The sequence below is a fragment of the Homo sapiens genome, chromosome 12, assembly GCF_000001405.40.
Source record: "Homo sapiens chromosome 12, GRCh38.p14 Primary Assembly".
In the NCBI taxonomy this organism is placed as follows: domain Eukaryota; kingdom Metazoa; phylum Chordata; class Mammalia; order Primates; family Hominidae; genus Homo; species Homo sapiens.
The window spans coordinates 78,090,613-78,117,388 of record NC_000012.12 but is presented as its reverse complement, the minus strand read 5'-3'; the positions used below and the strand labels follow the sequence as shown (position 1 = coordinate 78,117,388).

At 35.3% G+C, this 26,776-nt stretch overlaps 1 protein-coding gene across 31 annotated transcripts in view, besides 2 other annotated features; it reads right to left on the bottom strand.

Annotated features, from left to right (window-relative positions):
• The window catches only part of NAV3 (neuron navigator 3), a 641,149-nt gene that overhangs the window by 95,622 nt on the left and 518,751 nt on the right, over window positions 1–26,776 (bottom strand). For all 31 annotated transcript variants that reach the window (XM_017020166.3, XM_047429817.1, XM_047429823.1 and 28 more), the window contains one exon: window positions 485–617. In XM_017020166.3, coding sequence (XP_016875655.1) covers window positions 485–617 — 133 coding nt within the window. The remainder of the gene's footprint in view (window positions 1–484; window positions 618–26,776) is intronic.
• Window positions 14,201–14,700: an enhancer, noted in NCBI's record as "H3K27ac hESC enhancer chr12:78496469-78496968 (GRCh37/hg19 assembly coordinates)". NCBI's record gives its function as "activates a minimal SCP1, AML or CMV promoter by ChIP-STARR-seq in primed H9 embryonic stem cells {active_cell/tissue: H9 hESC(primed)}" and the evidence as "EXISTENCE:reporter gene assay evidence [ECO:0000049][PMID:30033119]".
• Window positions 14,701–15,202: an enhancer, noted in NCBI's record as "H3K27ac hESC enhancer chr12:78495967-78496468 (GRCh37/hg19 assembly coordinates)". NCBI's record gives its function as "activates a minimal SCP1, AML or CMV promoter by ChIP-STARR-seq in primed H9 embryonic stem cells {active_cell/tissue: H9 hESC(primed)}" and the evidence as "EXISTENCE:reporter gene assay evidence [ECO:0000049][PMID:30033119]".

Sequence of the window (26,776 nt, the reverse complement as noted above, 5' to 3'; positions counted from 1 at the left end):
TATAATATATAAAATATATATCTATTATATGTTATATATTTTTATATATTTAATATATATAAATATCTATTATATAAATAGATATTTATATACTCTATATATTAACAATAAATAAATATATTTGTATAGATAACTATACCACCAGGCTATATGGCACATATATTACATATATATAAATATGTAATGTATATCATATATATATATATATATATATATATATATATATATATGCTGCTTCTGTTTATTCAAAATTGGCTGCAGTGCACATTGTTGCTCCTCCTAAGGGTTGTGGCTTTAGGAAAGACTAAGATGAAAGATGCTTCAGGGTTCAGGAGTGGCAAAGGGAGTCCTTATTATCTCTGCATTTTCCAGTTTCTGTAATAATTTTGGATTAAGGGCTTGTGCTATACCTTAATCTAATATTAAGTAATTTTGGGGAAAAAGCTGGCAGAAACACTGGAAAAAGAAAGGTGGTAATTCTCACCTGAGTATTCTTCCTAGAGGGGACGGTGATGTTGGAGTAAGAGCTGACAGAGGATGTGGTGTTCAGGTCATCAGTGCTGATGTTATCAAGGGTGTCACTGAGACCACTGCTCACTGAACTGCTGTCATCCCAGCTAAAGGCAAGACATGCAAGAGCAGTGAATCAAACACAGGATGCACAATGCAAGTCACCTACATTTCCATGCAACATTCACAATTTATTATTAAGACATTCTTTTAAAAAATATCTTATGAAAAGTCACTTATTTCACATTTTGGGAAAATCATATTTATATGAACTGAGGGTCTACATAAGAATAACCTTATCTGATATTTGGAAAGAATCAGTGTCTAGAGCAGTGTCCAGGTTCAAGAAGAATGTGTGTGGAATGAATAAGATCACTGATACAAATACTGCATGGTATCAGGAAAGAATAATATTACAGCTGACTTTTTTATCCTTAAAAATTCAACCAGGAATCATAAAGCATGTACAAATTTATTCTTTGTTCTAAAAATCCAAAACTTGTGCTGTAGTCAGGAACCAGAAAATCATTCCTCATTCTTCCTCCTAGCTTAGGAACTACATTCAATCATTCACAGAGTCTTATTGCATGAGTCTCATTATTCTTTGATCACCAAGAATATTGAGATTCATTCAATCATAGCATCTCTCCTGCCATCCCTCACATTTCCATCCATGATAACATACAGTATCCTCTTATCTGGCCTTCATGCTTTTGATCTTTCCCAATACAACTTTATCTGCTAACATGGAGTCACTGATCAAAAATTCACATCTGGCCATGTCATAACCTTGCTCAACATCCTTCAAAGACTTCTCCTTTCCCAGACTGTGGTTACTAAAATGAAATGCCCGTGCCACACAGTGCATAAGAAAATCCATTTGAAATATAAGAGAAATAGCTAAAATTCTGAATATAGTCATGTATTACATATTGTACTAACTGTATTGTTACATACTGTATTAATGACAGGGACATGTTTTGAGAAATGCATCATTAGGTGATTTTGTTCATTGTGAGAACATCATAGAGTGTACTTATACAAACCTAGATGGTATAACCTAACTATACACCTAAGGTATGTGGTATAGCCTGTTGCTCCTAGGTGTACAGCATGTTACTGTACTGAATACTGCAGGCAACTCTAACACGATGGTAAGCATTTATGTATCAAAACATATCAGAACAATGAAAATGTACAGGAAAAATATGTTATTATAATCTTATTGGACCACAGTAATAGATGTGGTCCTTCAATGACCAAATGACTGAAGTGTCATTCTGTGGCACATGACTACTTATTTATTTTTAATCTAAAGAAGGATAAATTAAATAGGCTGTATTAATATCATGTGGAGGCTAACACAGCACCTTCATTTAGTGAATGCATTAGATTATGCAGAAATAGTGTTGAATAAGCAGCATAAGCTAAGGAAAATGAGAACTCCACAATGAAAAGGTGGACCACAGTTCTCTCATTTACCAGCTGGTTCTCAGTTTATTGTGATATATAGTCTTTATTAGTAGCATGAGAATAAACTAATACAGTAAATTGGTGCCAGGAGTGGGGCACTGCTGTAAAGATACCCATACCTGTGCTCTCTCAAATTAATCCATGCACACTGAATAAACACATTATATACAGACAAAAGCTAAGTCTCATAAAATGGACACATGGATTTAAAAGGCTCCTGCAAATAATCTGTACATTGATGAGAATATTCATCATGAAAGCACAAACTACAAAGAAATGGTGAACTGATACTTTATCTGCTCTTCTATATGTACTTTAAGAGCTACATCATATATGTACTTCAAGAGCTACATCATAAGTCCAAAATAATGGTAATGTATTTAGATCACATATGAAGTCAACTAAAATGTAACTATCAGAAATAAAGAAAATTAAATTTATAGAATTATTGTTAAGGCTGATTCCTCTCTAGGTGTGTATTTTGCTTGAAGTTTTAGCTGCTGAGAGCATAATGCATCATAATTATCCATGACATTTATAATTCAGATTATCAAGAACAATTATATTTTTAATAAGAGCAAAATGGTATTTTGCACTACTATAGCACATATCTGTCATTTGTGGTTGCTCAAATCTTTTAAAAACCTTCCCTACATCTTAATTTGATAATTTCTCATATCATGACTGACATGGTTTGGCTGTGTCCCCACCCAAATCTCCTCTTGAATTGTAGTAGTTCCCATAATCTTCACGTGTCATGGGAGGAACCCGTTGGGAGGTAATGGAATCATGGACATGGTTACCCTCATGCTGTTCTCAAGAGAGTGAGTTCTCATGAGATCTGATGACTTTATAAGGGTTTTTCCCCCGTTTTGCTCATTCTTCTCCCTGCCACCATGTGAAGGAGGATGTGTTTGCTTCCCTTCCACCATGATTCTGTTTCCTGAGGCCTTGCCAGCCATGCTGAACTGTGAGTCAATTAAACCTCTTTTTTCTTTATAAACTACCCAGCCTTGGGTATGTCTTTATTATCAGCATGAGAATAAATGGATATGGTAAATTGGTACCAGGAGTGGGGCACTGCTGTAAAGATACCCAGAAATGTGGCAGTAACTTTGCAACTGGGTAACAGGCAGAAGTTGGAACAGTTTGGAGGCCTCAGAAAAAGATAGGAAGATGTGGGAAAGTTTGAAACTTCCTAGAGACTTGTTGAATGGCTTTGACCAACATGCTGATAATGATATGGACAATGAAATCCAGGCTAAGGTGGTCTCAGATGGAGATGAGGAACTTGTTGGGAACTGGAGCAAAGGTGACTCTTGTTATGCTTTAGCAAAGAGACTGGTGGCATTTTGCCCCTGCCCTAGAGATCTGTGGTACTTTGAACTTGAGAGCGATAATTTAGGGTATCTGGTAGAAGATATTTCTGAGAAGCAAAGTGTTCAAGATATGATTTGGGTGCTGTTATAAGCATTCAGTTTTATGTATCCAGAAAGATATGGTTTGGAATTGGAACTTAATTTTAAAAGGGAAGCAGAGCATAAAAGTTTTAAAAATTTGCAACCTGATGATGCCATAGAAAAGAAAAACTCATTTTCTGAGGAGAAATTCAAGCCTGCTGCAGAAATTTGCATAAGTAACTATGAGCCAAATCTTAATAAGACAATAGGGAAAATGTCTCCAAGGCATGTCAGACAGTTTTGTGGCAACCCTACTCATCGCAGGCCCAGAAGCCTAGGAGGGAAAATTGGTTTTGTGGGCTGGGTCCAGGGCCCCCCTGCTGTATGCACCATAGGGACTTGGTGCCCTGCAACCCAGCTGCTCCAGCTTTAACTAATAAGGGCCAAGGTACAGCTAAGGCCATGGCTTCAGAAGGTGAAAGCCCCAAGCTTTGCCAGCTTCCATGGGGTGTTGAGCCTACATTTGCAGAGAAGTCAACAATTGAGGTCTGGAAACCTCCGCCTAGATTCCAGAGGATGTAAGGAAATGCTTGGATGTTCAGGCAGAAGTTTGCTGCAGCGGTGGAGCCCTCATGGTGAACCTCTGCTAGGGCAGTGTGGAAGGGAAATGTGGGATCAGAGCCCCCACACAGAGTCCCCACTGGGGTACTGCCTAGTGGATCTGTGAGATGAAGGCCACCATCCTCCAGACCACAGAATGGTAGATCCACCTACAGCTTGCACCCATGTGCCTGGAAAAGCTGCAGGCACTCAACACTAGCTTGTAAAAGCAGCCTGGAGTGGGGCTGTACCCTGCAAAGCCACAGAGGCAGAGCTGCCCAAAGCTGTGGGAGCCCACCTCTTGCATAATCATGACCTAGACGTGAGATATGAAGTCAAAGGAGATAATTTTGAAACTTTAAGGTTTAACAATGGCCCTATTGGATTTTGGACCTCCATGAGGCCTGTAGCCCCTTGGTTTTGGTCAATTCCTCCCGTTTGGAATCTGTGTATTTACCCAATGACTGTGACCCTATTGTATCTAGGAAGTAGCTAACTTGCTTTCGAATTTACAGGCTCATAGGCAGAAGGGACTTGCCTTGTCTCAGATTAGACTTTGGACTTGGACTTTTGTGTTAATACTGAAATGTGTTAAGACTTTGGGGGGACTGTTGGAAGGGCATGATTGTATTTGAATTGTGAGAACACGAGATTTGGGAGGGGTCAGAGGTGGAATGAAATGGTGTGGCTGTGTCCCCACCCAAATCTCATCTTGAATTGTAGTTCCCATAAGCCCCATGTGTTGTGGGAGGGACCTGGTGGGAAGTAATTGAGTCATGGGGGCAGTTACTCTAATTGTGTTCTTGTGAGAGTGAGTTCTCATGGGATTTGATAGTTTTATAAGGGGTTTTTCCCCCTTTTACTCATTATCCTTCCTGCTACCATGTGAAGGACATGTGTGCTTCCCCTTCCCCCATGATTATAACTTTCCTTAGGCCTCCCCAGTCATGTTGAACTGTGAGTCAATTAAACCTCTTTCTTTCATAAAGTACCCAATTTGGGGTATGTCTTCATTAGCAGTTTAAGAACAGACTAATAGAATGACCTTTACCACCCAAAAATAGGATATAAAAAGCTCACATTCCCAGACTCTCTTACGAACACCTATAGCATGCAGCACAGGGACTATCTATCATTTATAGGCAAGAGGTCACAAATGAGAAAAACAATCTTCTGGCAAGCAATGTGGCAGAGTCATTTGATTCTTTTCTATTATCTAGCAAATTAAATTATTCAGTTGTTTTCTATCAGCATGGGCAGATATCTGGCCTCAAGTTTCAAGTGTCAGAGGTGTCAGTGGAGGTAGCAGTGAAGCCCTAGTGCTATGATTCGCTAATAGCCTGCAAAAAGGCTGGTTCTAATCATCCCAATAAATGAGAACCTTCTACTATAGTTTAATTCCTTAAATTAGCCAACGTAGATTATTTAGTTTGCAACGTGGAACACCAATAAATACATTTATAAATTTAGAAATATATATTTCTTTACTATATCTTTCTTATATTTGTACATGTTGAACAATGCATACAGTATCTTTTCACAGGAATATATGCATATAAATTATAAAAACACAAATATACACACTTTGATGACCACTGTCTAAAGTAAAGCTCAGCCTCTTTGAAAAGACATATATCAAGAGAATGAGAAGACAACCCACAGACTGGAAAAAATTTTTTCCAAAAGACATATATTTTGGGTGAATAAAGAAACTGAAAACTTGTTTTTTCAATGTGGTTATATAATTGTACATTCTTACCACAAGGAATGAGAATTTCAGTTGCTCCATATCCTTGTCAATACTTGGTATTGTCAGTCTCTGTAAAAGCCTATCTAGTAGTATTTCATTACCATTTTATTTTGTATTTCTCTGATGACTAACGATGTCGAACATTGTTACATGTATTTATTGGAAATTTGAATATATTTTTTGGTGACATGTATGTTCAAATCCTTTGACCACATTTTTATTGGGTTGTCTTAATATTATTGAGTTTTGATAGTTTTTCTAATTTTTTGGATTTTAGTGAATTTTATTTCATTCTATATGGCATTAACATAAACAAGAAGTGGTTCTTATAGTAGTATTGACTTAATGCCTATCCACCTGAGTTAACATTGTCAGTGAATGATACTGGATTAGTATTTTATTATTTTTATTTGTACGCATTTAATTTTACACGTATATAGTGCATAGTGATTTTGTTACACGTATATAATTGCATAGTGATCAAGTATTTAGGTGTTCATCACCTGAGTATAATACATTTTGTTAACTGTAGTCACTGTACTCTGCTATCAAGCATTGAATTTATTTCTTTTAACTATATGTTTACACTTTTTAACTCTCTTCTCTTCACCTTCCCTCCTACCCTCCATTCATCCTTTCCAGTCTCTGTTTCCTACCTACCTTTCCATTCTCCACCTTCATGTAATCAAGTTATTAGCTCCCACATATAAGTGAGAACATGTGATATTTATCTTTTTGTGCCTAGATTATTTCACTTAAGATAATGAACTCCAGTTTCAACCATGTTGCTGCAAATGACAGGATTTCATTCTTTTTAATGGCAGATAGTCTTCCAATTCTATATAACCTATATACAGAAATGGAATATGTATAATGGAATGGAATATAAATATTAGAACATGTAGAAAACATTATATATACACATTATATATACATGTATGTGTGTATACACACACACACACTATATATATATATATATGGCTTTATTTCTGAGCTTTCTATTCCATACCATTTGTCTAAAAATACCATGCTGTTTTGGCTACTATAGTCTCCAGCTTTGTTCTTTTTTTACATTTTTTTATTTGTACAAATTGATAAAATCCATGTTCAATTTTGTTACATGCATAGATTGCATAGTGATTAAGTCAGGACCAGATTTGTTCTTTATGTTCAGAATTGCTTTGGCTATTTGGGCTCTGTTCTCATTCCATACTAATTTTAGGATTATTCTAATTCTATGAAATATGACATTGGTAATTTGGTAGAAATTGCATTGAATGTGGAAATTGCTTTGGGAAGTATGGTCATTTTAATGATATTAATTCTTTTGATCCATAAACATGGGATGTTTCTCAATTTGTTTGTTTAATCCTTAATTTCTTTCATCAGTGTTTTGTAGTTTTGTGCAGAGATCTTTAACTTCCTTGATTTATTCCCAGGTATTTTAATTTTTTGTAGCTAATTTAAATGGGATCACTTTCTTGATTTCTTTCTTAGCTATTTTATTATTGGGGCATAGAAATGCTACTGACTTTTGTATTTTTATTTTGTATCCTGAAACTTTACTAAATTAATTAATCAAATCTAAGAGGTTTTTGCTGGAGTTTTTAGTATTTTCCAGATACAAAACCATATCATCAGCAAAGAGGAACAATGTTACTTGCTCTTCCCAATTTAGATACTTTTTATTTCTTTTGCTTGTCTGATTGTTTTGGCTAGGACTTCTAGTACTATGTGGATAGGAGTGGTGAGAGTTTGCATCCTTGTCTTGTTCCAGTTCTTAGAGGAAAGTCTTTAAACTTTGCCCCATTCTGTATGATATTAGCTCTGAGTTTGTCACATATGGCCTTTATTATATTGAGGTATGTTTCTTCTATGCTGAGTTTTAGAGTTTTTTTTCATGAAGAGATGTTGAAATTTATCAAAAATTTTTTTCTGCATCTATTGAGATGATCATATATTCATTTGTCTTATATTCTGTGAAGATGCTTATCATGTTTATTGATTTATTTACATTGAGTCATACTTGTATCCTTGATACAAACCCTCTGGATTGTGGTATATTATTTTTTTGATGTGCTGTTGGATTCCGTTTGCCAGTATTTTGTTAATGATTTTTGCATCTGTGTTCATCATGGTTATTGGCCTGTAGTTTTCTTTTTGTGGTGTCCTTGTCAGGTTTTGGTTTCAAGGTGACACTGGTCATGTAGAATGAGCCAGAGAGAATTCCTTCCTCTGATTTATTGTAATAGCATCAAGAAGACTGGTATTCTTCTTTGCATGATTGGTAGAATTAGGCTGTGATGCTATTTGGTCCAAAGCTTTAAAAGAGTTGGGAGATGTTTTTTATTACTGATTCAATTTTGCTAATCATTACTGATATGTTCAGGTTTTCTATTTCTTCCTGATGCAACAGCTTGGTAGGTTGTAAGTTTCTAGGAATTTATCTATTTCTCTATATTTTCCATTTTTCAGCATATAGTTGTTAATAATAGTCTCTGATGATCCTTTTTATTTCTGTGGCATCTGTTGTAATGTCTCCTTTATCGTTTTTGATTGTGTTTATTTGGATATTCTTTTTCCTTGTTTAGTCTATCTAGTGGTTTATCAATTTTATTTATCTTGTTGAATAACCAAATTTTAGTTTTGTTAATCATTTGTATTTTTTTAGTCTCTATTTGATTTAGTTCTTTTCTGATCTTTATTATTGTGTTTCTTCTGCTGATTTTGGGTTTGATTTGTTCTTGATTTTTTAGTTTCTTCAGGCACATTGTTAGGTTGCTAATTTTAAAATATTTCTACTTTTTCAGTGTAAGCATTTATTGCTATAAACTTCCCTCTTAGCACTGCTTTTGCTGTATGCCACTGGTTTTGATATGTTATGTTTCAATCTTTATTTGTTACAAGAATTTTTTGATTTTCAGCTTAATTTCCTTATTGTCCCAGTGATCAACCAGGAACATGTTGTTTAATCTGCATGTATTTGTATAGTTTCCAACGTTATTCTTGGCATTGATTTCTAGCATTATTCAACAGTGGTCTGAGAAGATATGTGATATGATTTCAACTTTTAAAAAATTGCTGAGACATGATTTGTGGCCTAACATATGGTGGTCTATCTTGGACATTGTTTCATGTGCTGATGACACAAATTTCATTTTGCAGTGGTTGGATGGAATGTTTTGTAAATGTCTGTTAGGTCCATTTGGTCTAAAATCTAGTTTAAATCTAAAATTTACTGGTTGATTTTTTGCCTAGATTATCTGTCTAATACTGAAAGTGGAGTGTTGAAGTTCTCCACTATTACTGTATTGCAGTCTATTTCTCTCTTTAGGTCTAATATTTGCTTTGTGGATCTGAGTTCTCTAGTGTTGAATGCATATACATTTAGAGTTGTTATTTCCTATTGCTGGGTTAATCTCATCATTATATAATAACATCCTTTGTCTTTTTTATTTTACTCTTTTTGACTTAAAGTCTGTATGATCTAATTTAAGTATAGCTACTCCTGCTCACTATTGCTTTCCATTTGCAAGGAATATCTTTTACCATTCTTTTACTTTCAGCCTATGTATGTCTGCCTGGTAAGTTTCTTGTAATCAGCATATATTTGGATCATATAGTTTTATCATTCAGGCATTTCATAACGTTTAGGTGGAGAATGTAATTCATTTACATTCAAAGTGATTACTGATATGTGAGGCTTCCTGTTATATTGTTGTTTATTCGTTGTCTTATATATTTTTGTTCCTTTCTTTTTCCCTTATTGTTTGTCATTGTGGTTAGTTAGATTTCTCTGGTGGTAACATTTGATACCTCCCTTTAGTTGCTTACCAGGGAGTTTTATACTTTCATGTATTTTCATGATGATAAATGTCGTCCTTTCACTACTAGTTTCCAGACCTCCCTTGAGCATTTATTGTAGGTCCAGTCTAGTAGTAACAAACTACCTCAGCATTTTCGTGTCTGGGAAACCTTTTATTTCTCCTTCATTTATGAAGGATAATTTTGTGGGCTATAGTATTTAAGGCTGATAGTTTTTTTTTTCTTTAAGCACTTTGAATATATTGTCCTATTCTTTCTGGCCTGTAAAGTTTCTGCCAGAAATTTGCTGTCAGTCTGATAAGGTTTACTTCATAGGTTATCATACACTTTCTCTTGCTGTTTTTAGAATTTATTCCTTATCTTTGACTTTAAACAGTCTGATTGTAATGTGCTGTGTATAAGACCTTTTTGCGTTTTATCGGCCTGGGGACCATTGAGCCTCCTGCATCCCAAATATCTAAAACTCTTGCTAGACTTAGGAAGTTTTCATATATTATTTAATTAAGTGGGTTTTCTAATCTTTTCTTTGTCTTTTCACTCTCAGGGGTATCTATAATTCGTATATTTGGTCACTTTAATGTTATCCCAAATGTCAGGAAGGATTTGATTATTCTCTTTTAATTTTGTCTGACTAGATTATTTCAGAAGACCTGTCTTTACCTTCTGAGATTCTTTCTTCTGGTTGAATGTAGGATATTGTTGAAGCTTTATCTGCATATCTGTTGTAACAGTCGCTTCTTCCTATATTTGAATTCGCTTTCATATGGGAAAATTTTTTCCTTTAGATATACCTGTGATGTTGTTTGGATAGGGTACTGTGGCTTTGATTATGGGTGTGTGCAGTAATGTAGTCTCTCTATGATTTCTTTGGCTACAAACAGTGTCAGTGACATTTGTGATTTCCTTGGTAGGTTAGGGTGTGGTTATTAACAGAAGCTGTGATGAAGCTGTGCTGAGGACTGCAGTGTCAGGTGGGCCAGGCTTCAGGCCCTAGTGGTGGCAGAGGTGGGCTGACTACATGCCTATCTTTGTTCCCCAGGGTAGTGTACAGTGGTACCTCTGTTGGCAGTTACCAGTGGGCTGATGGTGGCTTGCCTGGATGCTGGTAGCTGCAGCAGTGGGCCAGGTGTGAGGAGTTTCTCTGGCTTCTGGGCAGCTGTCGTGATGTGGCTGACAGAAGAGGCAGTAGTGAAGTAACCTACTGGAACCCAGACAGTCCATGCTGGTGTTGGCAGTGACTGCCTTTTGCATTTCCATTTGAATTATAGAAATAGCTTGTCAGCTTCGACAGAACATCTTCTGGTGTTCTGTTCACCATTATATTGAATCTATTGATTAATTTGGGAAATACTGATACTTTAACAATATTGTCTCTCAATCCACAAATGAGTATCTCTTCACATATATTGGTCTTCTTTCATTTATTTCAGCAATGGTCTGTAATTCCTGGTATAGGAGATTTCATTTTATAAATTCCTAAATACTTTATTGTTCAATATTTTGATGTTATTGTAAATGGCATATTTAAATTTTCAAATTTCAAATAGTTTTTGTTAGTAGATAAATAAAATGGAATTTTGAATCTTGGCTTTGTATGCTATGATCTTGCTAAATTCACTAATAAGTTCTAGTTGTTTTATTGATTTTTTTGGCTTTTCTTTATACATGTTCATGTCAACTATAAAAAAAGGCAATTATACTTTTTCTTTGCTAATCTGTATGCTCTCTACATTTAAATATATTAATGCAACAATAAGATGAAAGCCTTTTATTCATAGCTAACAGATATTTTTTCCTCTATGATAATATTATACTAATATTTAAGTCTAGGAAAAATAACTTCAGAAAAAGCATTATAAAGGAAACAGAAGAAACAATAGAAACCTGGATTAGATTATTAAGTAAATATTTGTTAGAAATTTTGAATATCATAAAATATAAAATTAGGATTTATATCATATGCCAAATTCAATTCCAATGACTTCAGAATGAGTAAAAGAAGAGAACTATTTCATCAAATATATATTTTGGTTCTCAGGACAAGAATTTTCAAATCACAAAGCAATAAAAAAGATAAAGATACCAACTTGATGAAGAAACCTTTTGTTTTTTTTACATTTTGCAAACATTATCTGAAAGAAAAAAGATAAAATGCAGAAAAAGTTTGCTAAAATGTGATAGAAAATCCTTAAAATTCTTACTAACTGAACCTGAAACAAACCAGTAAGAATAATACCAACTTGTCCATAGAAAAATAGACAAATAATTTTATTGGAAAATTCACTAAGAAAAGTTTCAAATATCCCAAGCATATAACGAAACTGAGCTTCATTAATAATTAAACGTGTTAGATAATAAACAAGTAATACAGAGAGAGTCCTTCCTGGTGACTAGATACCATTCTAAGCATTTTCTATAGTAATTCAGTTAATTCTCACAGGAACCTAATATGATTGGTACAATTATCCCCACTTTATAGATTAGGAGACTAAGGCATCAAGAGATTAAATAGCTCACCTAAATTTTCACATACAGTAAATAATGAAGATGGATTTTGAACCAAATATCTCTGGCTGTACAGTACAGTCATTCAACCACAATAATAAAATGCTAATAAGGATATAACATTTCTGTCCCATCAAATTAGCAAAGAATATTTTATGTATTATCATTAATGTTGTCAGTTGGTATAAGAAAGACACATTTATCCCATACTGTCATAAATGTATATTGGTAAAAAATTTGAGATTATTTGGCAATATGTATCAAATATTTTAAAATTATTTGAATGTTTGACCTAGTGATACCATTTCTAGGAATCTATCCTAAACAAACACTCAGCATTGTGAACAAAAACTCATTTAGAAAGATATTTATCCCAGCATACATTTTTTCTTAACAATTAAAAAGATTGAGCCATTGATACATGAAATGACATAGATTAATTTCAAGCGCATTAAGTTAAAGATGCCAGATTCAAAAGGCCACATAAGGTATGGTTTTATTTATGCAACATTTAAGAAAAGGAAAAATGCTATAGAGATTTAGAACAGATCAGTGATCAGGAAGACTGTGGTAGCAGTTGCATGGCTTGATGCATATGTCAAAATTCAGAACTGAACAATAATAAAACAAATTTTACATGATATTAAGTAATTAAAAATGTAGCTAGCGAAACTGCTGGAAGATTATTGTTTGGATACACATAGGTTAATTAATGATTCCAAGAAGAAAATAATTGTTGAGGCATGCCTTTTAGTTTTTAGATTTTTAACGTTCAGTAACTCGATGGGGCCAATCTTAGTTAATTTGTAGTTCTGGATTCACTCCTGGATTCACAGTTAGAGGCAGGCTTGTTTGAAAACAAATGTGTTATACATTCAAGGACTTTTGCCTTTTGCCTGCTTTTTATGATGAGGGATTCTGAAATATTAACTAAACAATTATTAAAATGAAATTCTGAAGATTTAAAATTGATTTGAGGAAAATGCCATTTGTAGGTAATTTTTCAGCACACGCCTCTTTTTTGATGTAATAGCACTTCATATGGCAGGTATTCGAGTCATGCTCTTTGATATTTCATGTTACTGGGGCTCAACAGTCCTACTTACACATGTACATGTAAAACAGATATTTTGTTTACATAAACAACCAACTCTTATACTTCAGGCATTTAATAGTAACCTCAATCTCAATCAGCTAGGCTATTCAAATTTTCCATTAATCGAAGAAACATGCTTACTACTGAATCTTCTAGATGTATTCTGCTCTCTAATTCAACTACAATCATAAGAATACTGTTCACTAAGGTGATATTATTTTTGATTTCCATAAAAACACCTTCTCACTTCTAACCTTTTAATGATGTATTTTTTTGTTTGTGTTATTAAAAGCAAAAGTATAAGAAATCCATGTGATATAGTTTGGCTCTGTGTCCCTACCCAAATCTCATCTTGAATTGTATTCCCATAATTCCCATGTGTTGTGGGAGGCACCTGGTTGGAGATCATTTGAATCATGGGGGTGGTATCACCCATACTGTCCTAGTGGTAGTGAATAAGTCTTACAAGGTCCGATGGTTTTATCAGGGATTTCTGCGTTTGCATCTTCCTCATTTTCTCTTGCTGCCATCATGTAAGAAATGCCTTTTGCCTCCTGCCATGATTGTGAAGCCTCCCTAGCCATGTGGAACTGTAAGTCCAATTAAACCTTTTTTTCTTTCCAGTCTTGGGTATGTCTTTATCAACAGTGTGAAAACGGACTAACAAAGTAAGTTGGTACCAGTAGAGCGGGGCATTGCTGAAAAGATATCCAAAAATGTGGAAGTAACTTTGGGACTGTGTATCAGGCAGAGGCTGGAACAATTTGGAGGGCTCAGAAGAAGACAGGAAAATGTGGGAAAGTTTGGAGTAGAGACTTGTTGAATGGCTTTGACAAAAATTTTTATAGTGATATAAACAATAAGGACCAGGCTGAGGTTGTCTCGGATGGAGATGAGGAACTTGCTGAGAACTGGAGCAAAGGCGACTCTTGTTATGTTTTAGCAAAGAGACTGGTGGCATTTTGCCCCTGCCCTAGAGATTTGTGGAACTCTGAACTTGAGAGAGATGATTTAGGGTATCTGACAGAAGAAATTTCTAAGCAGCAAAGCATTCAAGAGGTGACGGGTGTTGTTAGAGCATCGCATTTTAAAAGGGAAACAGCATAAAAGTTCAGAAAATTTGCAGCCTGACAATGCAGTAGAAAAGAAAAACCCATTTTTTGAGGAGAAATTCAGCTGGCTGCAGAAATCTGCATAAGTAACAAGGAGCCAGTGTTAATCCCCAAGACAATGGGGAAAATGTCTCCAGGGCATGTCATAGGTCTTCATGGCAGCCCCACCCTTCACTGATCCAGAAGCCTAGGAGGAAAAAATGATTTTGAGGGCTGGGCCCAGGGTGCCCATACTGTGTGCAGCCTAGAGACTTGGTGCCCTGTGTCCCAGTCACTCCAGCCATTGCTAAAAGGGGCCAAGGTATAGCTCAGCCTGTGGTTTCAGAGGGTGCAAGCCCCAAACCTTGGCAGCTTCCACGTGGTAGAGAGCCTGCAGGTGCACAGAAATTAAGAATCGAGGTTTGGGAACCTCCACCTAGATTTCAGATGTATGGAAATGCCTGGATGCCCAGGAAAGAGTTTTCTGCAGGGGCACGGCCCTCATGAAGAATCTCTGCTAGGGCAGTGCAGGAGGGAAATCTGGGGTCAGAGCCCCCACAGAGTCTCTACTGGAGCACGGCCTAGTGGAGCTATGAGAAGAGGGCCATCATCCTCCAAACCCCAGAATGGTAGATCCACCAACAGCTTGCACCTTGTTCCTGGGAAAGCCACAGACACTCAATGCCAGCCTGTGAAAGCAGCTGGGAGGGGTGCTATACCCTGCAAAGCCACAGGGGCAGAGCTGCCAAAGATTATGGGAACCTATCTCTTGCATCAGCATGTCCTGGATGTGAGACATGGAGTCAAAAGAGATCATTTTGGAGTTTTACAATTTGACTGCCCAGATGGATTTCGGAATTGCATGCCCTGTAACCCATTAATTTTGGCCAATTTCTCCCATTTGAAACAGCTGTGTTTACCCAATACCAGTACTCCCATTGTATCTAGGAAGTAACTAGCTTGCTTGTGATTTTACAGGCTCATAGTGGAAGGGACTTTCCTTGTCTCAGATGAGACTATGGACTAACCTTAGATATTCATGAGACCATTTCGTGAAAACTTCTGGGTATGTTTCTTGTTTTCAGAGGAAAACTAGGTAACACTTAACAAAATCAAGGCACCACTTTTAAAAGATCCTATCACATTTCAGTATAACTTTTTCGCACATTTTTATGGTAATTTAAATAATACCAAGAAAGAGATATACTTTTTAAATATTATATAAAATATTTTCATATTATTCGGCACAATAATCTTTGCAATAATAATTTAAAATACCAAGAATTAACTGTTAGGCTTTGGGTTTTAGTATCAAAATGTTAAGTCAATTATTTTCTCCTGAAAGCTAAATGAGCACAAAACCACTTAGCCCTACATCATACCTCTTATATCAGCAAACACAGTGCATTACCTGTCAAGTTTGAGCATTGCAACCGCTGAAGTGTAAATTCTGTATTACTTCAGGGTCATTGATAGAAAGCAATAAAACGTATTTCAAGAAAGATTTATTCAGCACTTCCTGGGAAAATGTTTTATTACCATGAAGAAAAGCACAAGTCATTAAAAGAGGTTTTAAATGAGAAAAACCTAAGTCTATATAAACACTGATATACTAAAATGATTTTATGTTAAATACCTTACTCTCGACCTACAAAATGTATATGTAATGATTTTTATAGCAGTTTAAAAAAGATTCCTTTTACTTTCTAAGGTATGTCATCCTGCCACTGCTCATTTACTGTGCAACCTTGTGGAGCTTGAATAACTGGTTTAGAATCCAGTTGAAATGTCATTCCCTTTATGAATCTTTCCATGATTTTCAAGGACACTTTACCTCTTCCACATCTGTGTTTACTTCTAGTGTGCTTTCATTCTGTAATTTATGTACATTCTGAGTTGTTTCACTTTGTAGTTTATGGTGGGGGAAGCAGATTCTCTTTCAGAGTCTCACTGCCCAAGATTGGCATTTGGCTAAATGCAGTGCCTCAGTGTTTGTGGAATAAATCAATAACGAATCCAATCTTACATAGTCACAAACTATAGTCATTACCTGTGATTTATTCCCTCATTCTAACACTCCAAATTGCAAATTATTACAAATTGTGGCAAAAACCAAGGGAATGAAGTGAGAAGAAAACTCCAGAGAAGGACTAGAAGATTTGGGTGAATAAATAACTGCTTCTTTGAGGAGATAACTTTAGATAGCCATTATCAGGAAAATGAAGACTAAACATTACAGGAAAGAGCAATAAAGACAAATAAGAAATATTTGTAGATATTGTCAAAAAGGGTATTTCACATTTATTGTAAAAATAAGTGTAAAAACCTGGAAGTAACAAAAATCAAGAATCCAGTGGTACAAGTACAGCAGGCAAAAGGAAATACATAGTTCTGAGTCTGAAAAGGTGAGCAGGGAAGCCCTTAAAGGATTTTATATAGAGTGCTAAGAAATTAGAGTATCTTAGAAGTGCAATAGAAAATCAGATAGTATTGAGCAGTAAAATGACATAAGCAGATATATGTTTTAAAAACATTTTAGTGCTACAAATATATTAAAGGTAGAGTGCAAGTAGGGAACTTAATGAAGTATTGTGACACTCTTCAGTTTTTGATGGGGAGTTACAAGTAAATCAAAAGAAGGGAGTTTCAAGATATATTTTGTGGTAAAAATGATAGGATTTGCTGTTGATTGGAAAGTGATGAAAGAAAAAGAGACTCTAGGTCTCTTGCATGGTCTCCTACAATATAGGCATAAAACAATTTTGGGGAAAGTGTGGGGGAAAAAATCCATCAAGAGGACTCAAAGAATAATTTTAAGCTCATCTTCTGTTTGTACTTAGTACCATTATTTTCATGTATCAAGGGAAGTCTACATTAGGTTACTATATCATAGCCTAAGACTTTATAGCCTATAGCCTATAAACTTCTTGATAACCTAGAAATTCATATAAACATAAGGTTAAAGTCTTTCCATTCTTATTGTTTTTAGTATGCACTTAATGCTCTGATTTTATCCATGAAATATTCATAGAGACTAACATTAATACCATGTGGGTTTTGAGTAAAGAGAACAACCAATAAACTTTATACACTGACCTTTTTATTTGCTTTTATTTTCTCTAGAATATAAATAATGAAGATTTACAGCTATTCTGTCGTGGCATCAGAAAGGGCTAGGTAAACAAAAAATGGAAAGCTCTTGTTCTTTATACAAGGAAGCCCTAGGTAGACTTAGTTAAACGTAATAAGTGATATTAGTTTAAAAGGGATTTATGCAGTCAGGCACAAGTTTATGTTTTAATGATATCTGAAGGAGAGTAGAAACATCTATTTTTTTTAAATGGGCTGAAATCACAAAGGAGATAAAGTAATTTTATTACAAATTCTTTTGTTTAAACACATTACTTGAATAATCCTCATGATGGTTGGTTTTGGTAGTTTAATTCAATGCTCATTTTAAAGATGCTGTTATATAGTTGAAATAGGTACAAGTTGATTTAAAGTCTTCTATTTGTGATAAGTTTAGAATATAACATATGACACACATGAAAGTTAACTCCAGGATTCATTGAAGACCATTTGGTATCTTTTTCCATCTTATATAAATTTAAAAACCAATATATGCTCACTGTGGAAGACTGGGCAGTGCAGAAATACATAAAAGGAACAAAGTAAATCATCTGTATTCCCACCCAGAAGTAACCACCATTAGCATTTTGATGATTTCTGTCAAGTCATTTTTAGGAAGTAGTATATACACACATAAAAATTTACCTAGTTAACACTCTGCTGATTATAGTATCTGTACATTATTCATTCACTTCATATTACCTTATAATTATTTTAATGCTCTTAAATTATTTTCTAATTCATTATTTATAATAATGATATAATTATATCATATGGACTATTATATATTCAACAATTTATATTTTAAGATGCATAAAGCATTTTACAATTTTCTAACTATTGTAAGTAACACTGCAGTGAATAACTTTGTACATATATATTGAGATTATGTTTAGAATTATTGTATTAGGATAAATATACAAAAAGAGAATTACTGACTCACAGGTTTTGGACATTTGAAACACTGCAGATGCAACTTAATAACTGAAGAAACAACATCACTTCAATTCCTGCCACCCATATGACAGTGCCAATATTATAAAAAAAAAAAAAACCCTGGATACTTTCAGGCATTGTGGTTTCCTTTAGTAATTCAAAAATTTTGACATGTAAAAATAGTTACTAATTATATTAATAGTTTTCAGTTACATTTGTCAAATTGTGAGACTGAGTTTTTCTATAACTTACTTAGCTAATTTTATTTCCAGACATTGTCAATGTCCTTTGTGTATTTTTGCAATGGAGTTTAAATAATCCATTTGTATTACATTTTTAAATGCTAAAAAAAAACCAGTTTCAAATATTTCCCAAATCTGTTTCTTTGTTTTTCCTTTTAATTAACGATATTTTTATGTATAGGATTCAAAAATGTTTCAGTCAACTCCATAAATCTTTCTTATTTTCTTCTGTAATATTTTTGCCCAGAAAATTTTATGATATAATTTGATTTCTCCTCCTCTTCCTTCTTTTATATTCCATTTTTATGGTAAGGTTTGAAAGGTGAGAATCCCTTTTTAGACAACTATTTCTTTTCTATTTATTATTGTGGTTTACTTATCAAGTCTTAATATATGACATGTGAGCATTTTTAGTGATTACCATGTTTTCCACTGCCCTATTTGTTGATGTTTTATAGTAATATCATGATGTTTTAAATACTACAGTGTGTGGAGAGATTATTTTTAAAGACAGCCTACAACTTAAAATGTGTACATTTAACAAGAAATTCAAGCCTTTTAAAAACATTTTTATATTTAAATTTTTAATTTTTAAAAAACAAAATTACAAAACTTAGCTGTGTTTCTAAAGAATCATTACCATGAATAGTTTTATTCATGTATTAGTGCATCAAACATTTATTTAGTGACATTATTAAGGCAGAATGAGAAGATAGAAATCAGTAAGATGCTACAGAGACAAAACTTTTACCTTAACTTAGAAAATGTGTAATCTTCACTTTTGAGAATGTACAGGCTGTTTTTTGGATATCTGAGAATTTAGTTATAGGCGTTCTGCTTAATAAATAGCAATCACAGCTATTAAGTCTGAGCTAAATTGTCTCTCCTTTTAAAAACCTTCTTTCTCCCTTGAAATATCTTTGGCATTAGCTTTCTCTTTCAGAGGAATAGAAGTTCCCAAATTACTATAATTTCAAGGTTAAGTGAAAAGGGAAACGTTATGTAAAAATAAAAAAGCTTAGATAAAGCTCAACAACTTAGTTACAGAGCTAACTGTGAACAAGGTTGAAAACAGTAATCTGTTCTGTTTTATCTTACTTGAAACAGCTACATTAAAGTATTAATTCAATAAAATATTTCTTATATTTAAAAGGAAAATATTATTAAAAACAAAATTACAAAAGTATTAACCATGAAGAAATTGATTTTTGCTTTGGGATATACAAAATGTATTATAATAAAAACATTCCAGATTCTTCCATTTTAAAACATTCAGAACATCGCCTTGGTGAGGAACATTGCTTTAAAAAGGCACTTCAGTAAGTGAATATCTCTAGATGGGGGTGAAAGATAGTTCAGAATTAGAGAGATGTTTGCCAAGAGATTCACATCCCAGCACTGAAGAACAACAGATGGCAGCAGTAACATTGAAAACTTGCCGCAGATCCTGTCTGGCATGCTTTCAAAATGGCCATTTATATTTTCTAGCACAAACAGCCAACTGCTGTCTCCTTATATTGCAAGCATGGATATAGAAGAGAAGACAAAATGCAAGAAAGACACTTGAATCCTCTTAACAGAGGAAAGGGATTCAACTTGAAAAGGGAAGTGTGCTGGTGATATGACCTTGCCTGACCAGATGTCTTAATTTTCTAGGATTTTCCAGGCAGTCTCCTCATTGCTGATGACCTAACCTCCCTCCAGGTCTAAAACACTGCCAGCTGCTCTCAGGCTACTACCTTACTTCCCACACCCTGGTCTCTGTTTCTGAGCTTTGTTTAGTAACATCCATCTGAATTTTGCTTCCTCCCTAAAGAGGATTTTAGTCCACAGATTGTTGTTGCTAATCTGGACCATCTCTCACCTCAGGTGGGCAAACTAGAGTGAGTGCATGCACAGAAAGGGTCAGGACAAAGCAGAAGCAAGGCAGAGAGAGGTCACTGAGTCTTAGCACAGACAGGAGATAGAGGAGTTACAGTAACTGGAAAGGCTCAGAACCTCAACAGAATGGATATGGTACCCAGTAACAAAGAAAGAACTTCATATGGTTTGGCGGTATCCCCACCCAAATCTCATCTTGAATTGTAGCTCTCATAATCCCCATGTGTTGTGGGAGGGTCCCAGTGGCAGGTAATTGAATTGAGGGGGCGGGTTTTCCTGTCTGTTGTTCTTGTAATAGTGAACAAGTCTCACAAGATCTGATGGTTTTATGGAGAGCAGTTCCCCTGCACATGCTCTCTTGTCTGCAGCCATGTAAGATGTGACTTTGCTCCTTATTAGTCTTTCGCCATGATTGTGAGGCCTCCCCAGCCATGTGGAACTGTGAGTCAATTAAACCTCTTTCCTTCATAAATTACTCAGTCTCAGGTATGTCTTTATTAGCAGCCTGAGAACAGACTAATACAGATCTGATAAACTGGGCAGCCCTTCATCTCAAACAGAGAGCTTTTATATCACTAGAGGAGAAATAAATTTCCCAGGAGCTGGTGAGAACAAACAGAGGGGCCTGCCAGAATGAATGATATAAAGCCTTGGAGAGAAGTAGCTCCTACTCAAGCAGTTTGTAGCATAGGTTATGATATTCTTCACTGTTCCTCTCCAGAGAAGAGAACTAGATTTTATTTATAGGGGAAGCCATATAATTGGTTGGGACATATCCTATGAGGTGTTGATTCATCAGCTTGATCTTAGGACTTGATCCCTTTTATTTGCCAAATAGTGAATCTAATACTACTCTGTCTTACCTTCAGGGATATGAAGTACTGAATACTCTTCTTGGGCTAACATGAGTCAAAATAATAGGATCAGGAAATGAAATTTATCTGTAGGATTTATACAAAAGCCACCTCATTTCCTATATACCATATAGGTTACTTCCAGATCTGCCACTAGCCTATGTAGCAAGTGCCTTTATACAGTTCCATGAAGCATAGCTTAGCATACAGAGTGTCATCTGGATTTCAGCTAGACAGTCACTCTATTGTGCAAACATGGGTGGGATTCAACCTGTACAACTATATGATTCATTCTGAGTACTATCATGGAAACACCTACCCAAGACAAAAACCTAGATTGCTCCATCATGCATAACCTCAACCTCTATCCAACTGGCCAACAAGCTCAACTGGATCTTTATTTCCTCCATCTGCATGTCTTCATCTGTGTTGCCATTGTCTTCACGAAACACCTCACCATTTCCCAGTAGAGTATTGCTGTACTCTCCTAACTGGTATCTCTCCCTCTAGCCTGGATTTGCAATGCACCCTCAAAGAGCAGGAATAAATTCTGTAAACTTTAGCATGGTACAAACACTCTTCAAAGTCTGATCTTTGCCTAAGGTTTAGCCTCGTTTCCCATTGTTTACCTACGAATAGTCACATTGAGCCACTCTGTACTTCTTCAAGTGTTCTCTTTCTTGTTAAACATGTACAAATATGTTTGCACTTTAATTGTGTTTATATTCATATTCTTTCTCTTTTTCTCTCTCTTGCTCTCTCTTCAAGAGTTGAGTTTGAATTGATTGAGGACATTTATAGAAGTCAATTTCAGAAATTAGTTATCTCATTATGGTGCCTACATAAATTGTAAGACATTCTGGTACAGAGGTTTTATTCACTGTGCTGTGGTAGTATACTGACAAAGTAAATGCATTACATGAAACATAACAAATATGCTATCAAGTCACATATACATACGTATGTATATACATATGTATGTGTATATATATATGTGTATATATATATGTGTGTGTGTGTGTGTGTGTGTGTATATATATATATATATATAATTTGATATGGAGTCTCTGTCACCGGGCTGGAGTGCACTGGCATGATCTCGGCTCACTGCAACCCTCGCCTCCTGGGTTCAAGCGATTCTCCTGCCTCAGCCTCCCAAGTAGCTGGGACTACAGGCACGTGCCACCACACCTAGCTAATTTTTGTATTTTTAGTAGAGACGGGGTTTCACCATGTTGGCCAGGATGGTCTCAATCTCCTGACCTCGTGATCCACCTGCCTAGGCCACCCAAATTGCTGGGATTACAGGCATGAGCCACCATGCCTGGCCAAGCCAAGAAATATTTTTAATATTTTTGATGTACAAGGAACTAATGTTAGATATTATTTGTTTTGGATTTATAACCCGGTAATTAAAAATATCTTCACCGTTTCCTCAATGTTCATCATATTCCTTAGTATTTTAAAGAATAACTGAAGTAAATAAAATAGTACATATTTATAATTGTATATTTACAAAGTCATAATTAGGTTAAATGCTTTAGGATATTCTTGGTTGACATGACAGTCTTAGCATCTTCAAAGTTTACACAATTTGCAATCATCTTAGTAATTTCTTGCATTTTACAAAGTACAATTTTTTGGCTTGGGAAATTACTTTCCTCTCATTAAAATGTTACACCATTATATCCATTGACTTGTTTCAGTTAAAAATAAACAGTCCACTGTTTAACAACCTGGCCATAGGTTAAATCTCAGGCATTTGAAATAAATATTTTCTAGGTGTCTTTTGGTATAAAAGACAAGCTGATTTCAACTGGCTCAAGATTTCACAAGCCATTTTTGTTACAGTGCTTTCAGTTAAACTCTTAAATCAATAGACATATAGCATAAACATCTAATCCTTGGATTGTATTCAAAATTGATATGTTAGAAATTCTCCTTAAAAAGCAAAATAGGTCAGACATGGTGGTGCATGCCTGTAATCCCAGCACTTTGGGAAGCTAAAGTGGGACGATTGCTTGAGGCCAGAAGTTTGAGACCAGCCTGGGCCACATGGCGAGACTTCATCTCTAAAAAAATTAAAAATTTAGTCAGATGTGATGGTGTGTGCCTATAGTACCAGATGCTGGAGAAGACTGTTTGAGCCCAAGTGTTTGAGCCCAAGTGTTTGAGGCTGCACTGAACTATGATTGTACCACTGTACTCTAGTATTCCAGCTTGGGTGACAAAGTGAGGCCCTATCTCTAAAAAAGAAAAAAAAGTAAATAAAATTATTATTTTTAAGTCTTGTCTCTGTAAACAACAGTCCTTTGGGATTAATATATTTTCTAAATTTAAAATTAAAGATGATTTGGGGTAAGAAACAATTTTACTTGGTAAATAAGTTTGTATAATTCATTTTTATTTTTTTCTAATAGTTAGATTTTCTACTTAATACTGTACTTTTTTTTTCCCCCAGAGTGTCTTTGTCTTGGCAAACTAAAACAGAGGGTTTATAGTCTCTATTCCCTATAGCTTTTCCACTGCTGTACAAATCTTTACACCATAGTGTTATGTGTTTTATTTCCAAAAACAATATCTGGACTTGCTTCCATTACAACGTCATGCCCTATGAGATTGAAGGGCACTTTGGATTTCCTAACCAGAGATCAAAATGTTCCCTCTGTTCTTGTACTCCATAATTGATTTATTTAGTACCTGCTATATTTCTGGCTCTGTACTAATTGCTGATTACAGAAAGGTAAGTAAAAATTAGCTTTTGTCCTTAGTGAACATATGAAATGTAGAAAAAGATAGATGAGTAATTATCTGTAACTGAGATTCTTAATTTTAGCCCATTTATAACAAATAAATAAAAGTGCATTATGTAAAACCTACACCTGAATTTGCTTGCTTACAGTAAAGACTGTCACAAATTTTGTCACAGAAACTTGAAAATGTTAATGATTCATATTCATTGTATATTGTTAACTCATTCTTCTTTTATTCATTCATACTTCAGGAATTTGCTAGGTGCATACAGGTCTTATAAAGATGAACAGAGCAAAATCTGTACACCAGGATTTGACCAAATGAAAATTATTGCAAGAAGTAGACATGGTTTGGCGTGTTTCCCCAGAGGATTTAAACAACCAACCAGCTAATACCTAACATATGAAAGCCAAGTTACATACATTGTTCTGTGCTCTGCAGCAGGGAGAAACAAAGTCTATATTTCCTAACCTAAGATAGCCTTAAAATTTGACTGAAGACCCAAGCGAATATGGATGAAACACTTTAGAAAATAATTAACACGGCCGGGCGCGGTGGCTCACGCCTGTAATCCCAGCACTTTGGGAGGCCAAGGCTGGCAGATCACAAGGTCAGGAGATCGAGACCATCCTGGCTAACACAGTGAAACCCCAGTCTCTACTAAAAACACAAAAAATTAGCCGGGCATGGTGGCAGGCGCCTGTAGTCCCAGCTACTCGGGAGGCTGAGCCAGGAAAATGGCGTGAACCCGGGAGGCGGAGATTGCAGTGAACCAAGATCGCACCACTGCACTACAGCCTGGGCGACAGAGCGAGACTCCATCTCAAAAAAAAAAAAAAAAAAAAAAAAAAGAAAATAACTAACGCTTTCAAAGGGTGAAATGAGTTTCTTTCTGGTATTAGAAAAATATTACCATTCTAAGTGTGAGCAAATGTTTAAAGATCTATTATTTTATACACTATGGCCCTCCCTCAATATCAACAAATTATTTTACCTGAGTCAGGCCTCTTCCCACCCCTCCAACGTCCTTTCTGTTTGATAAGAAAAGACAGTAATTGAATGAGTTTGTATTTAAACCTGTTATACTTTGTTTTTAATATGTCATTCATAGATTTATTTTTCTTCGCACGCATTTCCCCCAATTTCCACAGATACCTGTTTGCAATGTTAAAGTAACCCTGAATTTGAATGTCAACTTTCCAAGGATTCAAGAAATTTTGCAAAATTCTAGGTTATATGAAATCTGTGTCCTGGTTTATCTTGTGCACGACTGTGTCCTCAGTGCTAATACCGTAGGTGTGGATGTTTGGTGAATGAATAATGAATGAATTCTGGGGTAAGAAATATTAGCAAAATTAAATTACCATTTTCGTTCTTTCCATTATGACAACTCTTTAATTTAGAGTGAGTGAGTGCTTTATTGGGAATGTACTATGCAGGATAGTGATTCTGTATATTCTGTCTTTGTTTAAAAATGAAAATAAGAAAAGGAGAAATTGCACAAGAAATGTAGCCAATTAACAGGTGAATTTTTTTTTTTTTTTTTTGAGACGGAGTCTCGCTCTGTCGCCCAGGCTGGAGTGCAGTGGCGGGATCTCGGCTCACTGCAAGCTCCGCCTCCCGGGTTCACGCCATTCTCCTGCCTCAGCCTCCCAAGTAGCTGGGACTACAGGCGCCCGCCACTACGCCCGGCTAATTTTTTGTATTTTTAGTAGAGACGGGGTTTCACCGTTTTAGCCGGGATGGTCTCGATCTCCTGACCTCGTGATCCGCCCGCCTCGGCCTCCCAAAGTGCTGGGATTACAGGCGTGAGCCACTGCGCCCGGCCACAGGTGAATTTTATGGACTCTGATTAATACACTGTTTTCAGTTAACATTTGTTTTGAATTAAATTATTGGTCAATTGAGCATCCGGAGTAGTGAATATTTCTCATAGAATCAATTCCTGAACTTTTAATGCTCTACAAATTAAAATTATCAACATTAATCAAAGAGTTATGCCTTTTAGCAAGATAGGGCTAATAATGCACCTTCAAGGAATCCAACATAATTCTATTCTGAAGTCAACATTAAGGACAAAAGTAAAGTTACTACTATTGTTATATTCGACTGAGCTTTTCAATCCCAAAACATCAATAGAAATTACAGATATTATTTCTATGATCTTGAACCCTTAGTCGCACATTATAAGTAGAGTCTGCATTAGTTAGCTAGGTTAGCAATCAGGTCTATTTCAAAAATGCATTTTTAAACGTAAACTACATACTTTGGAATTATATTATGTCATTTCCCAGTATTATAATTGAGTAAAAAGCTAAAAATTATATCTGTTTGGACATATTCACACACACACACACACACACACACACACACACACACACACACACAGAATACAGCACAGCACAGAAGTACTTCTGACACCTTGCAAAACACCATTCATCTTTCACTTTTACTGTTAAGAGTTTGAAAGTGAAAAAATAGATCCCATGAAAAGACTGTTACGGAATTTTCACATCTTTTTGACTTTTATCTTTGAAGTCAATGAATTTTAGAAATATGAAAGCAACTATTGTAGTAGCTCTTTGTATCACTTTAAAGATAGGTCATAAAGACAGTGGTGTGATGTGTCAACCGTAACAGTTTTTGTTCCTGAAAAACTTAAAATATTTTTAAAAAATATATATGGTGTCAATTACAACCAGAACCTACAAAGGAAGTGCCCAGGGTTAC